Source organism: Homo sapiens, chromosome 18, assembly GCF_000001405.40.
Source record: "Homo sapiens chromosome 18, GRCh38.p14 Primary Assembly".
NCBI classification, from domain to species: domain Eukaryota; kingdom Metazoa; phylum Chordata; class Mammalia; order Primates; family Hominidae; genus Homo; species Homo sapiens.
The window spans coordinates 1,042,730-1,067,657 of NC_000018.10; the positions used below are offsets into that span (position 1 = coordinate 1,042,730).

General features: G+C 36.8%; 1 long non-coding RNA gene across 1 annotated transcript in view; it reads left to right on the top strand.

Annotated features, from left to right (window-relative positions):
* LOC107985165 (uncharacterized) overlaps positions 1 to 18,807 on the top strand; it is a 110,408-nt gene extending 91,601 nt beyond the window's left edge. The window contains exons 2-3 of the long non-coding RNA XR_001753317.1: positions 7,291 to 7,459; positions 18,734 to 18,807. This is a non-coding gene — a long non-coding RNA (uncharacterized LOC107985165). The remainder of the gene's footprint in view (positions 1 to 7,290; positions 7,460 to 18,733) is intronic.
* Positions 18,808 to 24,928: the final 6,121 nt, after the last annotated feature.

Below are 24,928 nucleotides of genomic sequence, written 5' to 3' on the forward strand. Positions count from 1 at the left end.
TTCAAGGCTACTATGAACACCTTTATGCACATAAACTGGAAAACCTAGAAGAGATGGGTAAATTCCTGGAAAAATACAACCCTTCTAGCTTAAATCAGGAAGAATTACATACCCCGAACAGACCAACTTGAAACTGTAATTAAAAACGTACCAACAAAAAAAAGTCCAGGATCAGAAGATTCACAGGAGAATTCTACCAGACATTCAAAGAGGAATTGGTACCAATCCTTTTGACACTATTCCACAAGATAGAGAAAGAAGGAACCCTCTTTAAATCATTCCATGAAGCCAGTATCACCCTAATACCAAAACCAGGAAAGGACATAAGCACAAAAGAAAACGACAGACCAATATCTCTGATGAACATAGATGCTAACATCCTTAACAAAATACTAGCTAACCAAATCCAACAACGTATCAAAAAGATAATCCACCATGATCAAATGGGTTTCATACCAGAGATGCAGGGATGGTTTAACATACACAAGTCAATAAATGTGAGACACCACTTAAACAGGATTAAAAATAAAAATCACATGATCATCTTGATGCAGAAAAAGCATTTGACAAAATCCAGCATCACTTTATGATTAAAGCTTTCAGCAAAATTGGCATACAAGGGTAATACCTCAATATAATAAAAGCCATGTATGACAAACTCATAGGCAACACAACACTGAATGGGGAAAAGTTGAAAGCTTTCCCTCTGAGAACTGGAATGAGACAAGGATGGCCACTCTCACCACTCCTCTTCAACATAGTACTGGAAGTCCTAGCCAGAGCAATCAGACAAGAGAAAGAAATAAAGGGCATCCAAATCAGTAAAGAGGAAGTCAAACTGTCACAGTTTCGTGATAATATGATCATTTACCTAGAAAACCCTAAAGACTCTTCTAAAAAGCTCCTAAAACGGATAAAAGAATTCAGCAAAGTTTCCGAATACAAAATTAATGTACACAAATCAGTAGCTCTGCTATATGCCAACAGCGATTATGCTGAGAATCAAATAAAGAAATCAACCTTTTTTACAATAGCTGCAAAAAACAAAACAAAACAAAACAAACTTAGGAATATACCTAACCAAGGTGGAAGGCCTCTAGAAGGAAAACTACAAAACACTGCTGAAAAAAACCATAGATGACACAAACAAATGGAAACACATCCCATGCTCATAGATGGGTAGAATCGATATTGTGAAAATGACCACATTGCCAAAAGCAATCTATAAATTCAATGTAATCTCTATCAAAATACCACCATCACTCTTCACAGGATTGGAAAAAAAATCCTAAAATTCATATGGAACCCCAAAAGAGCTCTCATAGCCAAAGCAAGACTGAACAAAAAGAACAAATCTAGAGGCATCACATTACCTGATTTCAAACTATAAGGCCATAGTCACCAAAACAGCATGGTACTAGTATAAAAATAGGAACATAGACAAATGGAACAGAGCAGAGAACCCAGAAATAAACCCTAATACTTAAGCCAACTGGTCTTTGACAAAGCAACAAAAACATAAAGTGGGGAAAGACACACTTTTCAACAAATGGTGCTGGAATAATTGGCTAGCCACATGTAGGAGAATGAAATTGGATCCTCATCTCTCACCTTTTACAAAAATTAACTCAAGGTGGATTAAGGACTTAAATCTAATACCTGAAACTATAAAAATTCTAGAAGATAATATTGGAAAAACCCTTCTAGACATTGACCAAGAATCCAAAAGCAAATTCAATAAAAGCAAAGATACATAGCTGGGACCTAATTAAATTAAAAAGCTTTTGCATGGCAAAAAGAACAGTCAGCACAGTAAACAGACAACCCACAGAGTGGGAAAAATCTTTGCAATCTCTACATCCGACAAAGGACTAATATCCAGAATCTACAATGAACTCAAACAAATCAACAAGAAAAAAAGAAACGATCCCATCAAAAAGTGGGCTAAGGGCATGAATAGACAATTCTCGAAAGAAGATATACAAATGGCCAACAAACATATGAAAAAATGCTCAACATCACTAATGATCAGGGAAATGCAAATCAATACCACAAAGCAATACCACCTTACTCTTGCAAGAATGGCCATAATAAAAAATAAAAAAATAGATTTTGGAATGGATGCGCTGAACAGGGAACACTTCTACGCTGCGGTGGGAATGTAAACTAGTCCAACCACTATGGAAAACAGTTTGGAGATTCCTTAAAGAACTAAAAGTAGAACTACCGTTTGATCCAGCAATCCCACTACTGGGTATGTGTCCAGTGGAAAAGAAGTCATTATATGAAAAAGATACTTGCACATGCATGTTTATAGCAGCACAATTCACAATTGCAAAATCATGGAACCAACCCAGATGCCCATCAATGAACGAGTGGATAAAGGAACTGTAGTGTGTATGTGTATATATATATATACACATACATATATGTAGATTCCATCATATATGGGAACAAAAGTTTCCATCATATATGTATATATATACACACACATATATTTATATATAGATTCCATCATATATATATGTGTGTGTATATGTATACATATATGATGGAATACTACTCAGCATTATAAAGGAATGAGTTAATGGCATTTGCAGTGACCTGGATGTGATTGGAAACTATTATTCTAAGTGAAGTAACTCAGGAGTGGAAAACCAAACATCATATGTTCCCATTCATAAGTGGCAGCTAAGTTATGAGGATGCGGGCCTAAGAATGACACAATGGACTTTGGGGACTCGGGGAAAGGGTGGGAAGGGGGTGAGGGATAAAAGACTACAAACAGGGCGCAGTGTGTACTGCCTGGGTGATGGGTGCACCAAAATTTCACAAATCACCACTAAAGAATTTACCCATGTGACTAAACACTACCTGTTCCCCAATAACCTATGGAAATAAAAAACATTGGAATGTAATGCTTGAATTTAGGATTCCCTGTTCTAACATTTCATAGTTTGGCTTTCAGTATTTTGTCTACAGGGGTAGGAGCTGAGGGAGCAAGCAGTTTTGATTTGTAGCTTGTTTTCCTTTTGGGGCTGAAAGAATAATGGGAGCCCTGTGGATCCCACCGGGAGGAAGTGGGAGGGTTTCAGAATTCACGCAGGAGAAGGATGGGATGCAGCAATGCAGGGAAAGAGGAATGAGGTCTGAGCTGTATTTTCCGATTTGAGAAAGAAAGAAACAGGGAGCTGCTTCTCTCATTTAACTCTTAAGTTTGCTGTGGCTAAGTGCCTTTTGTTTAGAGGAAACACTGCTATTGTTTAGTAAAAGCATAACAAATGTGCGTATAGAAAGTGATTGAGAGTGGAATAATTGTTTTTTGGTTTTTACTTTTAAGGTGGGTAGGCAAGGCTGTGAAAAACATCTTCAGAGGAGGAGAATATATAATGAATTTCTAGAATGAAGGAAGAATTGAAAGAGATTTTAGCGACTATTTGGCCTCAACTCAAATTAGAATGCTTTGGGGAGCTTTTAAAAAACCCCAGCTGAGATTTCTGATCTAATCCACCTAGGGTGGGGCCTGGATGCTGGTGTTGTTAAAAAGTTCCCCAGGTGATTCTAAAGTGTAGCTGATTTGAGAACTACTGATGCAGTTCAAACTTTTGGCACCTAACTTTTGCTGATACTTTTAAGGTTTGGATGCAGGAAGATGAAGTGACACTTGATGCATGTTTCTTGGCTATTCTGGGCACAATTAAGGTTGAAGCACAAACTCAGAAGTGTTCATCACAAATTACCACCCGAGAGGAACCTCTCCATGAGTATTCTGTGCTCGGAGGAATTCTTTCTATAAATGGCTTGCTTTTCTGATGTAAACAAGCAGAAACGATTTGGATTTTTTTTTATTTTTTACTTTAAATACTGGAATACATATGCAGAATGTGCAGGTTTGTTACATGGGTATACATGTGCCATGGTGGTTTGCTCACCTATCAACCCATCATCTAGGTTTTAAGCCCTGCATGTATTAGGTATTTGTCCTAATGCTCTCCCTCCCCTTGCCCCCCAACCCCCCGACAGGCCCCAGTGTGTGTTTCCCTCCCTGTGTCTATGTGTTTTCATTGTTCAACTCCCACTTATGAGTGAGAACATGCGGTGTTTGGTTTTCTGTTCCTGTGTTAGCTTGCTGAGAATGATGGCTTCCAGCTTCGTCCATGTCTCTGCAAAGGACATGAACTCATTCTTTTATATGGCTGCATGGTATTCCGTGGTGTATACATGCCACATTTTCTTTATACAGTCTATCTTGATGGGCATTTGGGTTGGTTCCAAGTCTTTGCTATTGTAAATAGTGCTGCAATAAACATACATGTGCATGTGTCTTTATAGTAGAATGATTTATAATCCTTTGGGTATATACCCAGTAATGGGATTTAGAACTTTTTTCTGTGTGAATTGGAGTGATCATATATAGACTCCATGGGGGTGGATTATACAGAATCTAATAATAGTTGAAGAGGTCTGTGTTCTTGCATGTGTATGAGTTGCTGTCTGTGGTGGTGTTATGTGCAATATTGTGGGGTTAGATAAAAGCAGCCCTCTATGGAGGGGACAGTTGATATCTATTGAATACCTGCTTTGAGAGCATTTAGCACGTACAAAAACTTTTCTGCAGTCAGTCACGTGGATCATTTGAGAGTCCTAGTGATCTACTCTGTTCAGGATAGCAAGGTGATATTTAACAAACATGCTTTTAAGTGTTTGCATTTGAATCCCCAAATCAGTTGTAAATATATATTATGAACTGAGCTGGCTTGACGTTTATTTATGTGAACAAGATTTGAGTTGACCACAGCTAATTGAACCCAAAGGTATAGTGATCCCTCTAGTCTATCCCTCACCAAATAGGAATGCGTGGGAGCTAGAAATAATGTCATATGAAGAACAGTAATAAAAATGGAATGGCTCCGAAGGGCTTCGTTGCCATATGAGAATTATCCTGTGTTTTCCCAGAAAGCCAAAATACATGAGTAAGTACCAGAGTGAAGCTAATTTTGACTCTGCGGTAATTATAGCTAACATTTATTGATACTTGCTATGTGCCAACCCTGTGCTAAACATTCTAGGTAGTTTATTCCCTTAAATTTTAACAATAACCCTATTTAACTAAATATAGTTTATAGATAAGTTAGGAGACTGAGGCTTTAAGAGGTACCGGGATTTTGGAGTTAGGACATTTGGTTTAATTCCCAGCTTTCTCCCCTCCTGGCATTCTGTACTTGAACAATTTATACATTTTCAGGTTTCTGTACTCTCATTTATAAAATAGAGATACAAATTTCTACCCTTCACCATTATTGTGGATATTAGAGAGAATTCATATAAAGCATTTGCCATTCAATAAATAGTTACCATTATTATTCAACCTAATTTGGCACGACCTGTACTGTATGGTCAGGGACGACCATCACAGGCCTGATTGTTATGATTTAGTGGAGGCTGAGTAAGGAAGAAGGAATCTGACTTTTAATTAGGCTTCTGGCTAAAGTGAGTCACGTGTGAGGTTTTACTAGGTTTTCATCATATCCCTAAATGAATAGTAAGGGTCATTTTTGATTGGCGGAACTGATTAAAAAATCAATCTAGTTACTTTGAAAGATGGCCTTATTTTCATCAAGGAGAGGGTATACTTACTATCTGTAACTAGGAGGTTTGTCCTCTCAGAAAAGGAGCCTGTTAGTCTACAGATTTCACACTTTAAAACTGCTCTTTGAGTCAGGAAGTTGTTTAAAAATGCATATTATTTTGGCCACTTTAAGAACAATGGAAATTTAATGTGTCCCTTAGGCTAGATTCTAAAACTCTCATGACTTCTTTAAAATCTTCTGTGCACAGACAGGGGCCAGGACTCCTACTTTCTAGTTGTAAATGAGGAGCTTCCTGATTATCCCAGTGGAAAGAGGTTGCTTAAAGGATAATTGTACAGTTTATACCACTGTATTTATCTTTTAAAATGAATTTTTAATAATAAGCGCAGATACATTAGATAACTTTTCTTGCACACCATATACCTATATAAAATAACAGAAAAATTGCTGGCATTTCTGCCAAGGTTGATGGATTTCATGTACATGTATATGTCATGTAATTATCAAATGAGGGTAATCAGCATATCTATCACCTCAAACATTTATTATTTCTTTGTGGTGAGAACATTCAAAATCCTCTCTTCCAGCTATATAGAAACATTCAAAACATTATTGTTAACTATAGTCATGGTGCAATGGGACACCAGAACTTATTCTATCTAGCTGTAGCTTTGTATCCATTGACCAGTCAATCTCTCCCCATTTCCCCCTTCTTTCTACCTTTCCCAATCTGTGGTATCCACTGTTCTGTTTCTGTAAGATCATTTTTTTGTTAGATTCTACATATGACTGAAATCCTGCAGTATTTGTCTGTGCCTAGCTTATTTCACTTAACATACTGTTTTCCAGGTTCATCCATATTGTTGTGAATGAGAGGATTTTATTCTTTTTTTATGGCTGATTAGTATTCCATTGTGTATATACATATGCTGTTTTCTTTATTCATCTGTTGATGAACAGTTATGCTGATTTTATTTATTGGCTATTGTGAATAGTGGTACAATAAACATGGGAGTGCAGATGTCTCTTCAACATACTGATATCATTTCCTTTAGATATATACCCAGTAGTGAGATTGGTGGATCATATGATATTTCAATTTTTAACTTTTTGAGAAACCTCTATACTGTTTTCCATATTGGTTGTACTAATTTTATTCTCACCGACAATGTGTAAGGGTTCCCTTTTCTCCACATGCTTGCCAACACTTGTTATCTTTTGTCTTTTTGATAATAGCCATTCTAACTAGAGAAAGATCATATCTCATTGTGGTTTTGATTTGCATTTCCCTAATGATTAGTGATGTTGAGCATTTTTTCATATACCAGGTTGGCCATCTGTATGTCTTTTTTTTTTTTTTTTTTGAGAAATATTTATTAAGGTCTTTTGCTCATTTTAAAAGTTGGATTATTATTATTATTTTTCTGCTATTGAGTTTTTTGAGTTCCTTATGTATTCTGGATATTAATTCAAGGGATATATTTCTTTTGAAGAAATTATTTTTCTATAGAGTATTTCTGACTCTTCAGGTAAAAATCAATTGAGAAGTTTTTAAATAAAAGAAAGCAATTTTATTGAGTTTTCAAAAAAGAGATTAAAATGCTCAACTCGCTTGCTTTAAAAAAACCAGATATTAGCTAAAGCTTTATTAACACAAATAAATATATAAATAATTACATTTAATATTCTGGTGAAATAGGAAACAAAAAAGAAAATTGAGTGGAGGAGAAGGAATAGCAAAATGGAGACAGCAGCAGAAGATAGAGAGAGGTGGACGAGAGAAAACCCTCAAGATAAAGAGACCAGGGCACAGAAAGGGAAGAAGAGGCAAAGAGACAAATACATGAGGAAACATGGCAGGCTTGGAGGTGGGTGTGTGCATGACTCAGTAACTGTTGAGCTCTGTCATGAGTAAGCATTTTTGTCTGGGGAACAATCACTATAGCTGGAATAATTAAACTTTATTTCAGGGAGAGGAGGTGCTGAATACCTCCAGACCTGTAATTTAGGGCATGAGTATCCAAGCTAGCACCATTGATGAATTTATGTCATTAAAAAGACAAAAAATAAACTCAGTCCTAAAGCCTGGCCTATACCCCATGGATGGTCCCATTGGAGTTGGAAAGAGTGTTACCTGAACAAAGTGAGGGTTCCACTAGAACGAAAAAAGCAAGCAGTGGACACTGGTGGGCAATTCACAGTGTTCACTACAAATAACTACAATGGGCAGAGGGCTGGGTCTGACACCAGAGGAAAAGAGAAACACGATTTCTTCTATAAGTTTGGAGAGAGAGACAAGTAAATACCTAAGCACAGTAAAATGTCATCAATGTCAAACAGAAGTGCAAACCAAGAGCAGCGCTTTTTTGGGCGGGGGGTGGGGCTTGGAGGGGTAGGGGAGTTAGTTTTCCTGGTTGTCTTGCAGAGTCCTTTTCCGTGACTTATACTCCTTGCTGCTCAGTGACCCTAAGGGAGGAGACCAGTGAGATGACCATGGTGAGGGTATTTAACCTTCCTTGTCTTGGATGCTTCCTCCCTTGGAGGGCTGTCCCGCACAGACACTCCTCTGTTCCTTACTCCTTTCTTCCCCTTTTTATTTTCTCTTTAACTTATTCCCTGTAGGTGTTCTCGGTGCCCTTTTGTTGTCCTGATTCTATCTTGGGATGTTTCATGAATTTCTCTTCCATCCTCTCATGTATATGAATCTCAATCCACATATTCTCTTCATTAATTTTGTTGATTTCTCTGCTTCCATTGTCTGATGGATGCCAGGCTTCTTCTTCCCCTCTGCTCTATTGGCATTGCTGAGCAAAGAGGTGAGGAGGATCCTGTAAATGGGTCAGCGTTGAGGGCAGGAGGGAAATCATAAGGGATTTTTACTTGGTTTGGCAGCTGCTTCCTCCCAGAGCCTGATTATTGATACCTCTTCATCAGATATTTGATATTTTCTTCCACATTTAAACAAGAAATTCATATTTCAATATTGATTATTAATATTTTCATATTAATTAAAATATTTGAAACATTTCTTCCTAATATTTCTCAGGAATGACCTGGCTTTATGATGTTAAGGCAGCATTTACCTGCCTTTCTTCTCTGGCTTATAATATAAAGTACCTGCCCATCAGCTCTTCATGAATGCATCACACCCAAATTACTTTTCTCCAATGCCTAGGCTTAGTGCATGACCAGTGACAGAAGGGTAAGAGTGGGAACTAGAAAGAATGACCTGCTATGTGGTGATATAGGAATTCCTAGGAAGGAGGAAGCATCTGGACTGGCCTTTAAAAAATGAGATATGTAGTTAACAAAAAAGTGTGGGGATGAGGAGTTCTGGGCATGAGGGAACAGTTGCATCTGAAACATGGAGGCATAAAAGTGTGTATTCTGTGCAGGAAAAGTTACCCTTGAAAGACTGAAATGCATTTTTACAAGTTGGTGATTGTATCCTTAAATCTTTTCTTCTTTATCCTGGTATAAAATACTTCCTTGTGAAAATATTTTTAACTAAGTCTAGTAGGGCAGGGATCTCCCAATCTTATTTTTAATTATTGACTTGATTCTGTAGTTACGAGCAACAGATGAAATTGGGTTTAATTACATTAGTTCTTTCAGTTTAAAAATAAAGGCAAGTGATGACACCATGTCATGAATCAGCACCTCAGAGTGGAGATGAGGGTTGCTGGGTGGGCGAACAAAATAATTTTTGCTGGGGAGAATTATGGCTAATAAAGGATATTTGGTTTTAATTATGTATTAATTCTTCATGTGCCAAATTAAAGTTCCAGGCTGAGAAATTAATTTCATATCCTGGTGATTTCCCCAAATATCCATCATTATATGGTAATTCTCTTAAAGCCTGGCAATATAAAACTACAAGTCATCCTAATTCCATGTATTAAAATCTGACTGTTTCCTTGCTATCTTTTATTGCTTCGCATCCTTTTCTCTTGCCTATCTAATATTTTACTGCTAAATGAAAGGAAAGGAACTAATAGATACCTTGCCTTTACATTTCATGGAAAGATCAATTAAAATGCCTGTGGAAAATTTGTTACAACCCTTAGTTAGGTTTGGAGACAGATACAGATCTGTTCCTGTGTCCTGTCTTTTAATGATAATAGAATATTTGAAAGAAATGTATCTAAAAGAAAAGGGGAACTGCCTTAGCTCAGCATAGTTCCTTGGTTCCATGTTTTGTGCCTGCAGCATCTCACTGGGGAAAGAGATGCCAAAAATGATGTGAAGCCTGTGGGTGCTTGTGGTCAATCAAAGACCAGCCAGTATTGCCTTAATGTTTTCTGAGATCTTCAAAGGAACTTTTTTCAAATTATAACAGGCAACATTACTTATTCCCTTGACTTTCTTGAAAAGATGTGTTTATATCCTAGCTTTACGTTAAAGGTCTAAGTCATCAAATATTATAGTTGGAAGAAATATTAGACATCATTTAGTCCAGATCATGTGACAAGCTTGGTGAGTTGGAGGGAAATTCAGATTTTATTTTGCATAATGAATTTAGAAAAAAAAACTCAATAGAAGTCAGGAAATAGAATCGTAGGTGTAATAATAATAATGCCGTCAGTGTAAAGCACAGCGCTTCTCCGGAGAGACTTTGATCTGAAAAGGCCAAAAAGAACAGTGAGAAGACCTGGAGCCAGAGGAAGTCTAAAATCACTAAAGTTTTTCAATTAAATTTCAGTTTTAATTTAGTTCATAGCCTTAGGGTTGTCAGGTTAGGTAGCTGATGTCCTAATATGGACGGCTCCAAGGGATGACTGGGAGAAAATGGCGACCACAGTAAATGCCGCTAGGGAAAAAATGAGTCTTCAGAAATATTTTTCTTTCCTATTAATCCATTTCACTACTGAAATTCAAGAATGTTCAATTTTTATCATTAAAAAGATAGCCATATTCACTTGTGCCTTATTAATTGCATTTGTTCACTTCCCCCCAAATTGGCTGTAAAACAAATTTCAGGTTATGAAATTATTTTCACCACGATTGGCACATTGGGAGGGCAATATTATCTCTGGGAAATTGTTTGGCCTCAATATTCAATGCAAAACAAAGCAAAAACTCTAAACATAAAATATTCTATTGCCTTTTGGAATCATGGACTACATTGAACTAAAATCATATAAAATGTTAATGACCTCAAGTCTCCAAATATGCTGCCAGAAATTTTATTCTTTTGGGACTAAATTTATTGAAGGAAATGTACCTCCAAATGACCCTGCCTGGATTCAGTCTTAGTGACAGAACAGTATGAAGGGATGTTGCTGTGTAACAAATTGCTATAAACTTAGAAGCTGAAAACAACACTAATTCGTTATCTCACTGTTCTGTGGGTCAGAACTGGGGACGGGCTCTTCTGCTCAGGGTCTCTCATGACTGAGATCAGTGTGTCCATGGGCTGAGCTCTGGGGAAGAATTTGCTTCTAAGCTCACTGAGGTTGCTGGCAGGAACTTGTTCCTTGTGGCTGCAGGTCTGAGGTCCTCATTTCTTTGCTGGCTGTCAGCCATGGCTGCTTGCTGTTCCTAGGGACTACCTGCATTCCTTCTCACGTGGTCCTCTCTGTCTTCAAAGCCATAACGGTGCATCAAGTCCTTCTCACTCTCAGACTTTCAAACTTCCTTTCTGCCATCATCTGGAGAAAACTCTTTACTTTTAAAGGGCTAATTTGATTAGATTGGGCCCACCAGATTAATCCCCCTTTTGCCATGTAAGGTAATATAATCACAGGAGTGATATTTAATTGTATGCATGGGTTCTACCCACACTAAAACGGAAGGAGATTAAGCAAGAATGAGGGTCATTGGAGGCCATTCTTACAATTCTGCTTACCACAGGGATAAGCTTGGGTCTCTATAAGCCAAATAAATATTTTCTCTGAAAACCCCAAGGTATAAGCTAAAAATAAAACAGTATTAGTTTCTGTATTATTTCTGTAGCTAAGGCATTTTCAGAAGATCTATACTTTAAAAAGTTTTAAACTTTTAAATTTGTAGCCCAAATTTTTAGTTGAATATATATTGCTTTCTGATTACAAGTGGCCTGTAGTCATATATGTATGCATGTATGTATTTATGCATAAATACTTAGGATTTGTTGTTTGCTAGGATTTGTTTATGTATATATATGCATAAATACTTAGGAACAACATATAATACTTAGTAACATCAATAGCTACTGCTAATGTTTTGGGCATATTATCTTTCAGTGCTTTTTTCTGTGCACATGTATTATATTTAATTTTTAATCATACTTGTCACACTATATTTTTGCATTCTCGGTTTTCGGTTTTAAATATTTTTTAAATTGATACATAATATTTGTACATATTTGCAGGATACAAGTGATATTTTGTTACATGCATAGAATATGTAATGATCAAGTCAAGGTATTTAGGATATCCAGCACTAGTTTTCATTGTTTTTACAACTATTTCTCTTACCATTTAGCACATTACATATATGTACTATTAGTAGTTGCCTACTAAATGCTACCTGTTATTCTGTTTATGTTTTTAAGAGCTTTATTCAGGTATAATTGACAAAAAATGTGAGTGTGTGTGTGTGTGTGTGTGGTAAGAACATGTAAGACATACTCTTTTAGCAAATTTCAAATAAACAACACAGTATTATTAACTATAGTTACTGTGCTTTACATTAGGTCCTCAGAACTTATTCATCTTGTAACTGAAAGTTTGTACTCTGACCAATATTTCCCCATTTTCCTCATGCTTGAGCCTCTGGCAACCACCATTCTACTCTTTGCTTTTATGAGTTCAAGTTTTTTAGATTCTACATATAAATGAGATCATACAGTATTTGTCTCTCTGTGTCTGGTTTATTTTACTTAGCATCATGTTCTTGTTCATCCACATTCAACCCAAATGGCAGGATTTTCTTCTATTTTATGGCTGAATAATATCCCACTGTATATATTCATACTATATTTTCCCTATCCATTTATCTTTCGATGGACACTTAGGTTCTGTATCTTGGCTATTGTCATAATGCTGCAATAAACTTGGGGGTGCCAATATCTTTCTGAGATATGGATTTTGCTTCCTTTGGGTATATACCCAGTATTAGGATTGCCGTATTATATAATAGTTCTGTTTTTAATTTTTTTGAGCAAACTCCATACTCTTTTCCATAAGAGATGTACTAATTTGCATCCTCACCAACAGTGTACAAGGGTTTTATTTTCTCCACAGCCTTGATAACTCTTCTTATATCTTATCTTTTTGATAATAACCATCCAAGCAGGTGTGAGGTGATATCTTGTGGTTTTAATTTGCATTTCTCTAATGTTGAGCCCCTTTTCATATCCCTGTTTGTCATTTGTATGTCTTCTTTGGAAAATTGTCTCTTCAGATCTTTTACTCATTTAATTTTTTTTTTGTTTTGGCTTTTGAGTTATATAAGCTCCTTGTATATTTTGGGTATTAACATTTTGTCAGATACATGGTCTGCCAATATTGTCTTGCATTCTGTGGGTTGCCCTTTCATTTTGTTGATTGTTTCCTTTGCTGTGCAGAAGCCCTTTGGTTTCATTTAGTCCCATTTTTTTTTTCTGTTTGCTTTTGTTCCCTTGTGCTTTGGGTGTCATATTTAAAAATGTTTGCCAAGGCCAGTGTCAAGGAGCTTTTCTTCTAACGTCTCTTCTAGGAGTTTTATGGTTTTAGGTCTTATATTTAAGTCTTTAATCCATCTCAAGTTGATTTTGTCAAGTTTTATTTTTTTGTGTGTGTTTATTTTTTTGAGACGGAGTCTCGCTCTGTCGCCCAGGCTGGAGTGTGGTGGCACAATCTTGGCTCACTGCAAGCTCCACCTCCTGGGTTCGTGCCATTCTCCTGCCTCAGCCTCCTGAGTAGCTGGGACTACAGGCACCTGCCACCATGCCCAGCTAATTTTTTCTGTTTTTAGTAGAGACGAGGTTTCACTGTGTTAGCCAGGATGGTCTTGATCTTCTGACCTCATGATTCGCCTGCCTCGGCCTCCCAAATTATGCTGGGATTACAGGCGTGAGCCACCGTGCCTGGCCAAGTTTTAATTTTTAGCATGTGGATATCCAGTTTTCCCAGCACCATTTATTAGGGAAAAGAGGGAAAAAGAGACTATTTTTTTCCTATTGTGTATTTTTTGGTGCCCCTGTTAAAGATTAGTTGACTATATATCGGTGGATTTATTTCTGGGCTCTCTATTCTGTCCCATTGGTCTACTTGTCTGTTTTTAATGCCAGTACCATACTGTTCTGATTACCATAGCTTTGTAATATAGTTTGAAACCAGGGACTGAGATGCCTCTGGCTTTGTTCTTTTTGCTCAAGATTGCTTTGGCTATTTGGAGCCTTCTGTTGATCTATACGCACTTTTAGAATTGCTTTTTCTATTTCTGTGCACAATGCTATTGGCATTTTGGTAGGGACTAGGTAGGGACTGCATTGAATCTGTGAACTGCTTTGGGTAGTATGGACATTTTAACAATATTAATTCTTTTAACCCTTGAACATGGGATGTCTTGTCATTTATTTTTGTCTTCTTTAATTTTCTTCATCAATGTCTCAGGGTTGTCAGAGCACAGATATTTTACCTTCTTAGTTAAATTTATTCCTAAGTATCTTAACGTTTTTAATGCTATGGAAATGGGATTGTTTTCTTAATTTCTTTTTAGATTCCTGTTAGTGTATAGAAATGTGACTGATTTTTGTATGTTGATTTTGTGTTTAATAACTTTACTGAATCCATTTATTTATTTATTTATTTATTTATTTATTTATTTATTTATTTATATCTAACAGTATTTTGGTGGAGACTTTAGTGTTTTCTATATATAAGGTTATGTCACTGCAAACAGAGATAATTTAACTTCTTCCTTTCTCATTTGGATGCCTTTTATCTTTTATTTCCTTGCCTAATTACTCTGGTTAGGAGTTTCAGTACTGTGTTGAATAAAAGTGGTGAGAGTGGGCACCTTGTCTTGTTTCTGATCTTAGAGGAAAATTTTTAGCTTTTCACCTTTTCATATGATGTTAGTTGTGGGCTTATCATATATAATTTATATTATGTTAAGGTACATTTCTTCTATGCCTAATTTATTGAAAGTTTTAAAATCATAAATAGACGTTGAATTCTGTCAAATGATTTTTCTGCAACTACTGAGATGATAGCATGGTTTTCATCCTTCATTTTGTTAACGTAGTATATTGTATTTATTGATTGTGTATGTGGAACCATCCTTGCATCCCAGGAATAACTCCAACTTGGTCATGGTGTATAATCTTTTTACGCAATGCTGTTGAGTCCTATTTGCTAATAATTCTTTTGAGGATTTTTGCATCTGTGTTCCTCAGCAATATTTCCCTGTAGTTTTATTTTCATATAGTGCCCTTATCTGGCTTTAGTGTGCATGTGATGCTAACCTCATAAATTTGGAAGTGTTCCTCTCTTTGTAATTTTTTGGAAGAGTTTGAGAAGGATTAGTCTTGGTTCTTTAAATGCTTGGTGGAATTCATCTGTGAATCCATCTGGTCCTGTACTTTTCTTTATTGGGAGGTTTTTGATTACTAATTCAATCTGCTTACTCATTGGTCTACTCAGATTTTCTATTTTTTTCATGATTCAGTCTCGGTAGGTTGTATGTATCTAGAAATTTGCCCATTTTTTTCCAGGTGGTCCAATTTGTTGGCATAGAATTGTTCATAGTAGTCTCTTATAATCTTTTGTATTTCTGCGGTATTAGTTGTAATGTCTCCTCTTTCCTTTATAATTTCATTTATTCAAGCCTTTCTCTTTTCTTCTTGGTTAGTGTAGATAAAAATTTGGCAATTTTGTTTTTCTTTTTTTAAAAAACCGTGGCCCTTTGTTTGGCTGATCTTTTGTATTGTCATTCTAGTCTCTATTTCATTTACTTCTGTTCTAATCTTTATTATTTCCTCCCCTTTGCCAACTTTGGGCTTTTTTTTTCTGGTTCTTTAAGATGTAAAATAAAGTTGTTTATTTGAAATCATTCTTTTTTCTCTTAATGTATACACTTATCACCATAAACTTCCCCCTTTGAACTGCTTTTGCTGCACCCCATAAGTTTGAGTATGTTGTGTTTTCATTTTTGTCTCAAAATACTTTTTGATTTCTTCTTTGGCCCACTGATTGTTCAGTAGTGTGTTAATGTATTAGTCATTTCTCATGTTGCTATAAAGAACTGCTCGAGACTAGGGTAATTTATAAAGAAAAGAGGTTTGATTGACTCATAATTCCACATGGGTGAGGAGGCCTCAGGAATCTTATAATCATGGTGGAAGGGGAAGCAAACTCATCCTTCTTCACATGATGGCAGGAACGAGAAGTGCCGAGCAAACGGGGGAAAACCCCCTTATAATACCATCAGATCTCGTGAGAACTCACTCACTATCATGAGAACAGCATGAGGGTAACCGGCCCAATGATTCAATTACCTCCCACTGGGTCCCTCCTACGACATGTGGGGATTATGGAAACTACAATTCAAGATGAGATTTGGGTGGGGACACAGCCATACCATATCAGTTAATTACACATAATTTACACATTTTCAAAATTATTCCTGTTATTAATTTCTAGTTTCATATCATTGTGGTTGGAAAAGATACTTGATATGATTACACTTTCTTAAGTTTGTTAAGACTTGTTTTGTGGCCCAACATATGATCTACCCTGGAGAGCATTCTGCGTGCAGTTAAGAAAAGTGTGTACTCTGCTGTTGCTGGGTGGAATGTTCTGCATTTGGTCTGCAGTGCTATTCAAGTCTGCTATTTCCTTAAAGGTTTTCTGTGTGGTTGATTTATTCATTTTTGAAAGTGGAGTACTGAAGTCTTCTACTATTATTATGTTGCTTCTGTTTCTCTCTTCAGTTCTGTTAATATTTGCTTTTTGTATTTATTTGCTCTAATGTTGGGTGGAACTATTCATAATTGGCATATTCCCTTGATGAATTGGCCCCTATATCATTATATATTGACCTCTTTGTCATGACAGATTTTGACTGAAAGTCTATTTTGTTTGATATAAGTATAGCCATACCTGCTTTCTTTTGGTTTCCATTTCCATGGAATATCCTTTTCCATCCCTTTATTTTTAGCCTGTTTGTATCTTTAAGGCTAAAGTGACCCTTTTGTAGGCAGTATATAGTTGAATTTTATTTTTAAGTTTATTCAACCACTGTGTGTTTTTTGATTGGGGAATTTAATACATTTACATTTAAAGTAATTATTGATAAGTAAGGTCTTACTATTTCCATTTTGTTAATTGTTTTCTGACTATTTTTTAGATTTTTTATTCCTTTTCATATCTGTTGGTATCTTTCCTTGTGAGTTGTTGATTTTTTATAGTGGTATGCTTGGATTCCTTTCTGTTTATCTTTGGTGTGTCTACTAGTGGCTCTTTCTTTCTCCCTTCCTTCCTTCCTTCCTTCCTTCCTTCCTTCCTTCCTTCCTTCCTTCCTTCCTTCCTTCTTTCGAGACAGGGTCTTGCTATGTCAACCAGGCTGGAGTGCAGTGGTGTGATCGTGGCTCACTGCAACCTCTGCCTCCCAGGTTCAAGCAAGTCTCCAGCACCAGTCTCCCAAGTAGCTGGAACTACAGGGGCGCACCACCACACCTGGATAATTTTTGTAATTTTAGTAGAGATGGGGTTTCACCATGTTTCCCAGGCAGGTCTTGAACTTCTGGGCTCAAACAATATGCTTGTCTTGGCCTCCCAAAGTACTGGGATTACAGGCATGAGCCACTGCACCCGGCATGGCTTTTTCTTACGGTTACCATGAAGTTTACATAAAACATATTATAGTTATAGCATTGTGTTTTAAGCTGATGAGAATGTAACTACAATTGCATTAAAAGACTCAATACTCTTACTTCTGCCTTCTTCACATTTTATATGATTGATATCACACTTTAAATATATATATATATATATATATATATATATATATATATATATATATATATATATATTTTTGAGACGGAATTTTGCTCTTGTTGCCCAAGCTGGAGTGCAATGGTGCGATCTTGGCTCACTGCAACCTCTGCCTCCTGGGTTCAAGCGATTCTCCTGCCTCAGCGTCCCAAGTAGGTGGGATTACAGGCACACACCACCATGCCCAGCTAATTTTTTGTATTTTCAGTAGAAATGGGGTTTTACCATGTTAGCCAGGCTGGTCTTGATCTCCTGACCTCAGGTGATCCACCCGCCTTGGCCTCCCAAAATGCTGGGATTATAGGCGTGAGCTACCATGCCAGGCTTAAATATTTTTATACTGAATATCCATTAACAAATGATAGTAGCTATAGTTATTTTTAATACTTTTGTCCCCTAACTTTTAATCTAGAGTTAACAAGTGATATACACACTAGCATTAGAGTATTAGAGTATTCTGGACTTGACTATATGTTTACTTTTACCAGTGAGTTTTATCTTTTCATGTGTTTATCGTTTTTATGTTGTTACTATGATGGTTAATACTGAGTGTCAACTTGATTGGATTGAAGGATACAAAATATTGATCCTGGGTGTGTCTGTGAGGGTGTTGCCAAAAGAGATTAACATTTGAGTCAGTGGGCTGGGGAAGGCAGACTCACCCTTAATCTAGTGGACACAATCTAATCAGCTGCCGGGAAATATAAAGCAGGCAGAAAAACATGAAAAGGAGAGGTGGGCCTAGGCTCCCAGTCTACATCTTTCTCCTGTGCTGATGCTTCCTACCCTTGAACACCAGACTCCAAGTTCTTCAGTTTTGGGACTCGGACTGGCTCTCTTTGCTCCTCAGCTTGCAGATGGCCTATTGTGGGACTTTGTGATCATGTAAATTAGTACTTAATAAACTCCCCTTTATATATGTATTTATATATATGTAAATGTCTCATATATATAAATGTCTGCTATTAGTTCTGTCCTCTAAGAGAACCCTGACTAATACAGTTTCTTAGCATCTTTCCATGTTATGTGAAGACATCTCTTCAGCATTTCTTGTAAGGCATATCTAGTGGTGATGAACTCTCTTAGCTTTTGTTTGTTTGGGAATGTCTTTATCTCTCTTTCATTTCTGATGAACACTTTTGCTGGTAGTATTCTGGTTGGATTTTTATTCTCTTTCAGAACTTTGAATATATCATCTCATTCCTTCCTGGCCCACAAGGTTTTTGCTGAGAAGTCTCCTGACATCCTTATGGTGAGTTTCTTGTATATGATGAGTGTCTTTTCTCTTACTACCTTCAAGAGTCTCACTTTGTCTTTGACTTTTGACAATCTAATTATGTGTTTTGGTGTATTTTTCTGTGGGTTGATCTTACTTGAGATCTTTTGAGTTTCGTTAATCAGAATGTTCTTATCGCTCCTGAGATTTCAGAAGTTCTAAGCCATTATTTCTTTAAATAAGTTTTCTGCTCCGTTTTCTGTCTCTTTCTATTGAAATTCCCATAATTAGTATATTTGTTTGTTTGATGATGTCCCAATTTGTCCCTTATGATTTCTTTACTAATTTTTATTCTTTTTTTGTTTTGTTTCTCTAATCAACTAATTTTTAATGATCTGACTTTGATTTCACTGTTCTTTTTTCTGCATAATTGAGTTTGCTCTTGAAGTTCTTTATTGTATTTTTTTAGTTATCTTATTGTATACTTCAGCACTAGGATTTCTGTTTGGTTCTTATTTATGGTTTCTATTTCTTTATTAAAATTTTTATTTTTTCATGCATTGTTTTCCTGGTATTGTTTAATTACATGTGTTCTCTTGCATCTCATCGAGCTACTTTAAGATCATTATTTTAAATTGCTTGTCAGGCAATTTATAGATCTCAATTTCTTTGGGGTTGGAACTTTATTTGTTTCCTTTGGTGGTGTATGTTTGTCTGATTCTTTGTCATTCATGAAGCCTCGTGTTGGTGTCTATGTATCTGAAGTAGCAAACATATTTTTCAGTCTTTACAGACTGGTTTTGGCAGGTAAAGATCTTTTTCTGTTAAATGTCTAGGCTGTTGGGATTGTCTCTGGGATCACAGTTGATTGAGTGGGGTTGGAATCGAGTCACATGGCTACTGCTGGTTCTGCACTGGGTCCATGTTTGATAGGCCTGTTACCAGGGGCTCCAGCAGGTGTGGGTCCTGTCTGGTCCTTGGGCAGACTGAGCTGCCTCCAGGTTCTTGGTCAGTAGGGGTGGTGCTGAGACCAGGCTCTGTTTCAGGGTCCACAGTTGATTTGGCTGATGGTGAGCCTGTTACTAGGTATGTAGAAGGGTATGTTTCCCTCTGAGTCTAGGGGAGTTTCTACTGGGTCACTGGGTAGGTACTTGAAGAGACAGTACTGGCTCCGGATCAAGGCTGAGAGGGGTCAATTAAGTTACAGGGCTGCTTCAGGATCCAGAGCTGAGACTGAGATCTGCAGTCCTGTCTCCAGAGGCAGAGATGAGTGTGCCTCCTGGTGGTTTCTTGGGCAAACACAATTGCCACTGGACCAAAGCTGAATGAGGCTAGAGCCAAGTTACAGGGCTGTTTCAGGATTGGTTGTGGGACCAAGGTTGGCAAGCCTGTTTATTGGAACACAGATGAGTGTGAGTTCAAGCATGTTCTTGAGTGGGCATGAATGCTCTCAGACTACAGTTGAGAGGGGCTGGAGCCGAGTTACCAATTCGTTTCAGGATCTACTGTGGGACCAAGGTTGGCAAGCCTGTCTCCCAGGGCATGACTGGGTATGACTTCTAGAAGGTCCCTCACTGAGTAGACCTGCTTTTAGGCTGCAGCTGAGAGGGACTGGAGATGAGTTATAGGGCTCTTTCAGGGTCTGTATGGGACTGAGGTTGGCAAGTCACAGACCAGCCTGACTACTGGTGGGTCCCAAGGAAGGCACAACTGCTTGCAGACCACAGCTAAGAGGAGCTGGAGCCAAGTTACAAGGCAATTTCATGGTCTGCTGCTGGGATCATGGGCCTATCATTTGAGACTCATGTGGGTGTGACCCCTCTCAGGTCCCTTGGCAGATGGTTCTAGTGGCAGAACCAAGGCAAATGAAGTTGTATCTGATACATAAGGAGATGAGGCTGTTTTTCACATCTGTAGCCTGCATTATGGTTAGTGACACTGCCATCTGAGTGCAAGCCTGTTCTCAAGACAGCCTTCTTAGGTCTTGGGCTCCACCAGGGTTCTCAGTCTCCAACCAAGGCTCACAATAGCACTTTGTCTACAGATGGCTGTCAAATTCTTGTTATTGTAGGGGGATGGGGATACAAGCAGAGGACATTCTATCCCATCATTTGGCTGACATCCCTATTAATCTGTTTAATATGTACCCTTCTTGACATAGAGTAATACTAACTTTTCATAAAATTGAAAAAACCACTATATTTTAACGATTTATACACCTAAATTATTATTTCTATAATAGTAAATTTTTGCATAATGTGTTTAAGTAGATGTATACAACTGCTTTGTCAATCACTTCTCTGTATAGAGGGAGGAAATTCCCAAGTGAAGATTTAAACTTTCTTCTTTCAAGTTTTAAATTATGTTTTTCCTTAGGATGTTATGGTTAAAAATTTAATCCGTCTTTGATCTCTCCTTGGATGAAACAGATTCATCCAATAATAGCACATTGAAATATGTGGTTTAGTGTAATCTCTGCTTCTACTGCAAACAGAAGAGAAATAAAGGATCTCTAGGCACAAAATTAATTGCTCTGCATCAGGTTGCATTGCCATTTAAGGAAAATTTATCTTTCATTATGATTGTATTCTCTATTATTTGAAAACTTGAGGCATGTTTATTTTTAGTATTGTGAGTTTCTATTGTCAAGCTGACCACCATTATTTGTTATTTCTTGAATCTTAACCTCAAACAAAGGCATTGCCTCTTTTTGGGGAAAAAGACTGACTCTTTATAATATAGATAGGCTTTTATTTTTATTTTCGAAACATCTGTATGCTCCACATTTAATTTTGAAAATACTATAAAGATATGGCTCATGTTCCTGATTATTTCATTAAATTGTTAAATGTAAATGTTCCAAATTTGGCAGTTTAAACATTGTGAATCCTAAAACTGATTAAGAAAATTTCATAGAATCACAATTTTAATTGGGCTACCCAATCTTATCAATTCAATTTCACTGCATGTTCTTAATCTACCTAAGTATATTCCCAATCCTTAATATAGATTTCCAATTAAAAAGAGGGAGAATGTTTTGTTTCTTTTATATTTATCCCCTAATTGCTTTTAGGCTCTGCAAAGGTTCTGTTTTGTCCAGGTGGTTGTTTTGAAGCATACTGTGCTTTCAGAATCTCTTGAAATATTTACAGATGATGAATCTGCAGCCAAAACACTCAATAAACAGCACCTGCAGAACTTAGACTTTGTCTAAATTTGGAAGTCAGAACTGAGGACTGGTGATTTGGATAGTTCTAGGGAATATGACTTTTGGAAGAGGATTTCAGAAATTTGAAGTAAAAGCTTGAATCATATTTACAACCTAACTGCTAGAGTTCTTCTTATATAATATATTTTGTCATTTTATGATCGTTCCTTTTTTTTGAAATTTAACATGTCAGGTTACCAATCTTTTTGGTAACTAAGAGATTTAGTAAATGTTACAGATTTGCAAAACTGTAGCTTGAAGTTAACTTGGGGCTGAAAGGAAGGATCTCTTGTACTCATTACCTGGCAGGGTTGGGCCTTGACTGTTCTAGTCTCATCCTCCATCCAGGTGTGCTGGTAAGTGTTTAACAATCACCTCACCAAAAATAGGTAAATAAAAACAGCCTGATTTGTAGCATTTGCTGATTTCCATGTAAATATGTCCTCTGGCTGATTTCAAGATATCAGAGATTTAACTGCTGGCTTTCACAATTTCTGAAAATTTAGTACTTGGCTCTCATGAGCCCTTATAAACCTGCTACAGCAGGTGAATCTATATTATCACCTGTCTCAGGAATCCATAATTCAGGAATTTTCATCTTTATTTGTGTTTAACTTGGTATTTTTTCCATGTTGTTACTGTGGTTAGATTCGTGAAAATGCTGAAGCTTTAAGAAAGTTCTCATTCTTCTAATTTGTATGCAACAGAAACTGCCAATAGCAACTTCCCACAAATACCTTAGAGTGGCTCCTTTGCATTGAAAGCAATAAATCCTATTTACAGGGAGAGCATGAAGTTCCTTATCTATTCCCCTCTCCCCCAAAAGAAACAAATGAACATGTATATATGTGAGAGAGAAAAGGGAAGAGGAATTTTAATATAAAGATAAAATTTAGTCTAGTGCTGATCATTTCTCTTTATAGCCTTATATGAACTTCTGAAGTATAGGCACTTTGTATTCTGGTAAAGAGTAGCTTCTCAAAAAGTTTGCTGGAGGAATGTCAAAGCTGCTTGCCTAACCTGAAGACAGAGAGTCACTTAAACTCTTCTAGAAGTTGCAAGAGCTCTCTGAGGATGTTTTACCTAGAGGTCTTAAGATAGTGATGCAGAATAAGAGAAAAGAAATGATGGGAAAATGGCATTATCAGCTCTCTTCCATTCTGCCATCTCCCACCACTCCTGTAATAAGTGGACTTCTAAAAGATTTGGGGCTGCCGTCTTCTACTATGAATAATCAGGCCACAATCAGCAAAGAAGCTGGGGGATGAGAAGTATGGAGACTTTTTGGTCAATACTGGTTGTATTAGTCAGGGCTCTCTAGAAAGACAGAGATAATAGGATAGATATAAATATAAAGGGGAGTTTAGTAATGAGTATTAACTCACATGATCACAAGGTCCCACAATAGGCCGTTTGCAAGTTGAGGAGCAAGGAAGCCAGCCCGAGTCCCAAAGCTGAAGAACTTGGAGTTTGATGGCAGGAAGAATCCAGCATGGGAGAAAGATGTAGGCTCGGAGGCTAAGCCAGTCTAATCTTTTCACATTTTTCTGCCTGCTTTATATTCGAGCCATGCTGGCATCTGATTAGATGGTGCATACCCATATTAAGGGTGGTCTGCCCCTCCAAGTCCACTGACTCAAATGTTAATCTCCCTTGGCAACACCCTCACAGACACACCCAGGATCAATACCTTGCATCTTTCAATCCAATCAGGTTCACACGCAGTATTAACCATCACACTGGGTTAAGTCAATTAGGGAAAAAGAATGAAGACCACCCAAGATTCTAGGAACAAAGTTTCTATTCTCTTGGCTTTGCTTGTCATTTATTTACTAGTATTTAGATGATTGTGACATATTTCACCTGGGCAAATGATTGTATTGTGATTACTTTGTCAGGAACATTCAGATTTCAGTGATCATCAGAGCCATGGCTACCCTTTAAAACAATAAAAATATGAACAACTTTAATTATATTATCTTAGAAGGACAAAAATTCTTAGGAGTACAAGTATTCGGATATTTTTCTTAAGTTGTGCTTTCACTATGAACTATTTGTCAAACTAATATCCAAAGAAAGTGGGGTTTTTTTTGGTGCATTTAGTATAATTTGGGGAAACTTGAAGTTATATTGGCATAAAAATTTTAGAAATTCTTTCCTTATTTTCAGAAACCATTGCATGTACCATCAGAGTTGGATTGATTCTTGATTATTGAGATATGAAAATAGTCTTTTTTAATTTCTCTGTTCTTCAGGCATAATTATAGAGTCATGTCAATTTAAGGCAAAGTAATTCTAATTAAATCTGAGAGAATAATTAGGTAGGTTGCTGTGACTTAGTTAGTTGGATAAGGTGTAGTTTGAACAGAAACCAAAGTTAATCATATGGGAGATTGTGGTTGTCAGTATGTACGAAATATTCTTAGAGTAAATTTCAAATATTCAAAATTCACAAAAATGGATAGTCACTTTGTAACACTGTCCTTAGGCAAACTTTCAGGTTTGAATATGGTGGGGGAGGGGGTGGGCACAGATATTTATTCCTTACAGTTTGCTAATAAAGGGAATTATTTTGACAGATTTAAAGAGGTTAAACCAATTTTGCATTCTGGAGACAATCCTCGCTGGGTCATGGTGTATTACCTTTTTTATATATCGTTGGATTAAGTTTGCTCAATTTTAAGAGTGTTTACATGTATGTCTCAGAGGAATACTGACAGATAATTTTGTTTTCTTGTAATGTCTTTCGTTCTTCTAGCAGGATAATGCTGGTTTTACAGAATGAGTTGGGAAATATTTCCTGGCCTTCAATTTTCTGGAAGAGTTTGGGTAGAATTGATAATGTTTCTTTTTAAAATGCTCATAAGAATTCATTAGTGAAGTCACCTGGGCCTGGAGTTTTCTTTGTGAGGGGTTTTTTAATTAAAAATTTAATTGCTTTAATAGATAT